Source organism: Homo sapiens, chromosome 19 (assembly GCF_000001405.40).
Source record: "Homo sapiens chromosome 19, GRCh38.p14 Primary Assembly".
NCBI classification, from domain to species: domain Eukaryota; kingdom Metazoa; phylum Chordata; class Mammalia; order Primates; family Hominidae; genus Homo; species Homo sapiens.
In genome coordinates, this window is record NC_000019.10 from 43,982,549 (window position 1) to 43,984,187 (window position 1,639).

Consider the following 1,639-nt stretch of genomic DNA (forward strand, 5'->3'; position numbering starts at 1 on the left):
CTCTTCTCTACCAAAAATACAAAAAAATTAGCCGGGCATGGTGGCGAGCACCTGTAGTCCCAGCTACTCGGGAGGCTGAGACAGAAGAATGGCATGAACCTGGGAGGCAGAGCTTGCAGTGAGCCGAGATCGCGCCACTGCACTCTAGCCTGGGCGACAGAGCAAGACTCCGTCTCAAAAATAAAATAAAATAAAATAAAATAAAATAAAATAAAATAAAATAAAATAAAATAAAAGCCAGGCAGGCTATGATATTTTGTGACTAAAAAATATTGGTACTGAGAGGTGGGCTTGCTGCTGCAACAAATACCTAAAAATGTAGCAGTCTTTGGAACTATGTAATGGATAGAGTCTAGAAGAGTTTTTACATGTATGCTAGGAAAAGCCTACATTGCCATGAATGGACTGATAAGGACAATTCTGGTTAGCGCTCAGAAATAGAGAATAAGAACTGTAGAGAAAACATCAATCTTGTTAGAGCATACCTAGGTAGTCATGATCAGAATGTTGGTAGAAATATGGACAGTAAAGGCCATTCTGAAGACCTCAGTCAGAAATGTTGAACATGTTATTGGAAGAGAAGAGAGCTTCTTGTTATAAAGGGACAAAGAATTTGGCTGAATTATATTCAGGTGCTAGTGTTTTATGGAAGGTAGAATTTGTGAATGATATAATTGTTTATCTGAATTAATTTCTAATCAAAGTGTTGAAGTTGCTTGAATCATCTTGACTACCCGTAGTGAAAGGCACGAAGTGAGGAATGACTGAAATAATTATTAATTAAAAGGGAAACAGAACTAAAATTTTTAAAAGTTTACAGCCTATCTACTTTGGAAAAAAAAAAAAACAGGAAACCTGAAGAATACAAGGGTATGGTTAAGCAACTAACTAATTCATGAATTTAGTATGGATTGGCCATGTCAACTGAAGCCAGGACCTATTGTCCAAGACAATGGAAGAATGACCCCAAAGGCATTTCACAGATTATGGCAGCTTCTCCTCCCATCACAGGCCCAGAGTGCAAGGACCTGGGGGACAGAAAGGGCCTTTGATGCCAGATATACCCTAATATATTAGGCACAGTTTCCTGCCTACTACGATTGAGCGTGTCAATAAATTTTTATCTCTTGGGAGGGCAGAACAGAGCAAGGATACAGCTGTAACTGGTTTAGAAATAGCAGTCACTCAATTTTCAGAGAAGTGTTCCTCATACTGTGGTTGGCACAGTCACTTTATCTAAAGAAAACCATGAAAAGTATTCTTTTTTAGTTTAGAAAAATTGATATAGAACATGAGACTCCATTTTTTTAAAATAAAAATATAGGTTGATAGGCCAGAATTCACAGGTCCACCTGCCTGAGCCAAAATTCTCACGCCTCCACAGAGCAAATGGACTCCATTTCCCAAGATACCAGCGAAACGCCTGCGGGAGTCTAATTGCCCGGTCGATGCGCAGGAAATTTGGCTCCCGCAGGCGTTTCGCGAGTAGCTTGGGAGGCGTGGGAATTTTGGCCCAGGCAGGAGGACCTGTGAATTCTGGGAAGTGGAGTCCATTTGCTCTGTGGAGTCGTGGGAACTTTGGCTCAGGCAGGCGGATTCGGGGGATTCTGGGAAGTGTAGTCCAGACGCCTGTGGCATC

At 41.2% G+C, this 1,639-nt stretch overlaps 1 annotated feature.

The window, feature by feature from the left end:
* Positions 1,337-1,536: a silencer, noted in NCBI's record as "silent region_10732". NCBI's record gives its function as "represses an Ori minimal core promoter by ATAC-STARR-seq in GM12878 lymphoblastoid cells {active_cell/tissue: GM12878}" and the evidence as "EXISTENCE:reporter gene assay evidence [ECO:0000049][PMID:35858748]".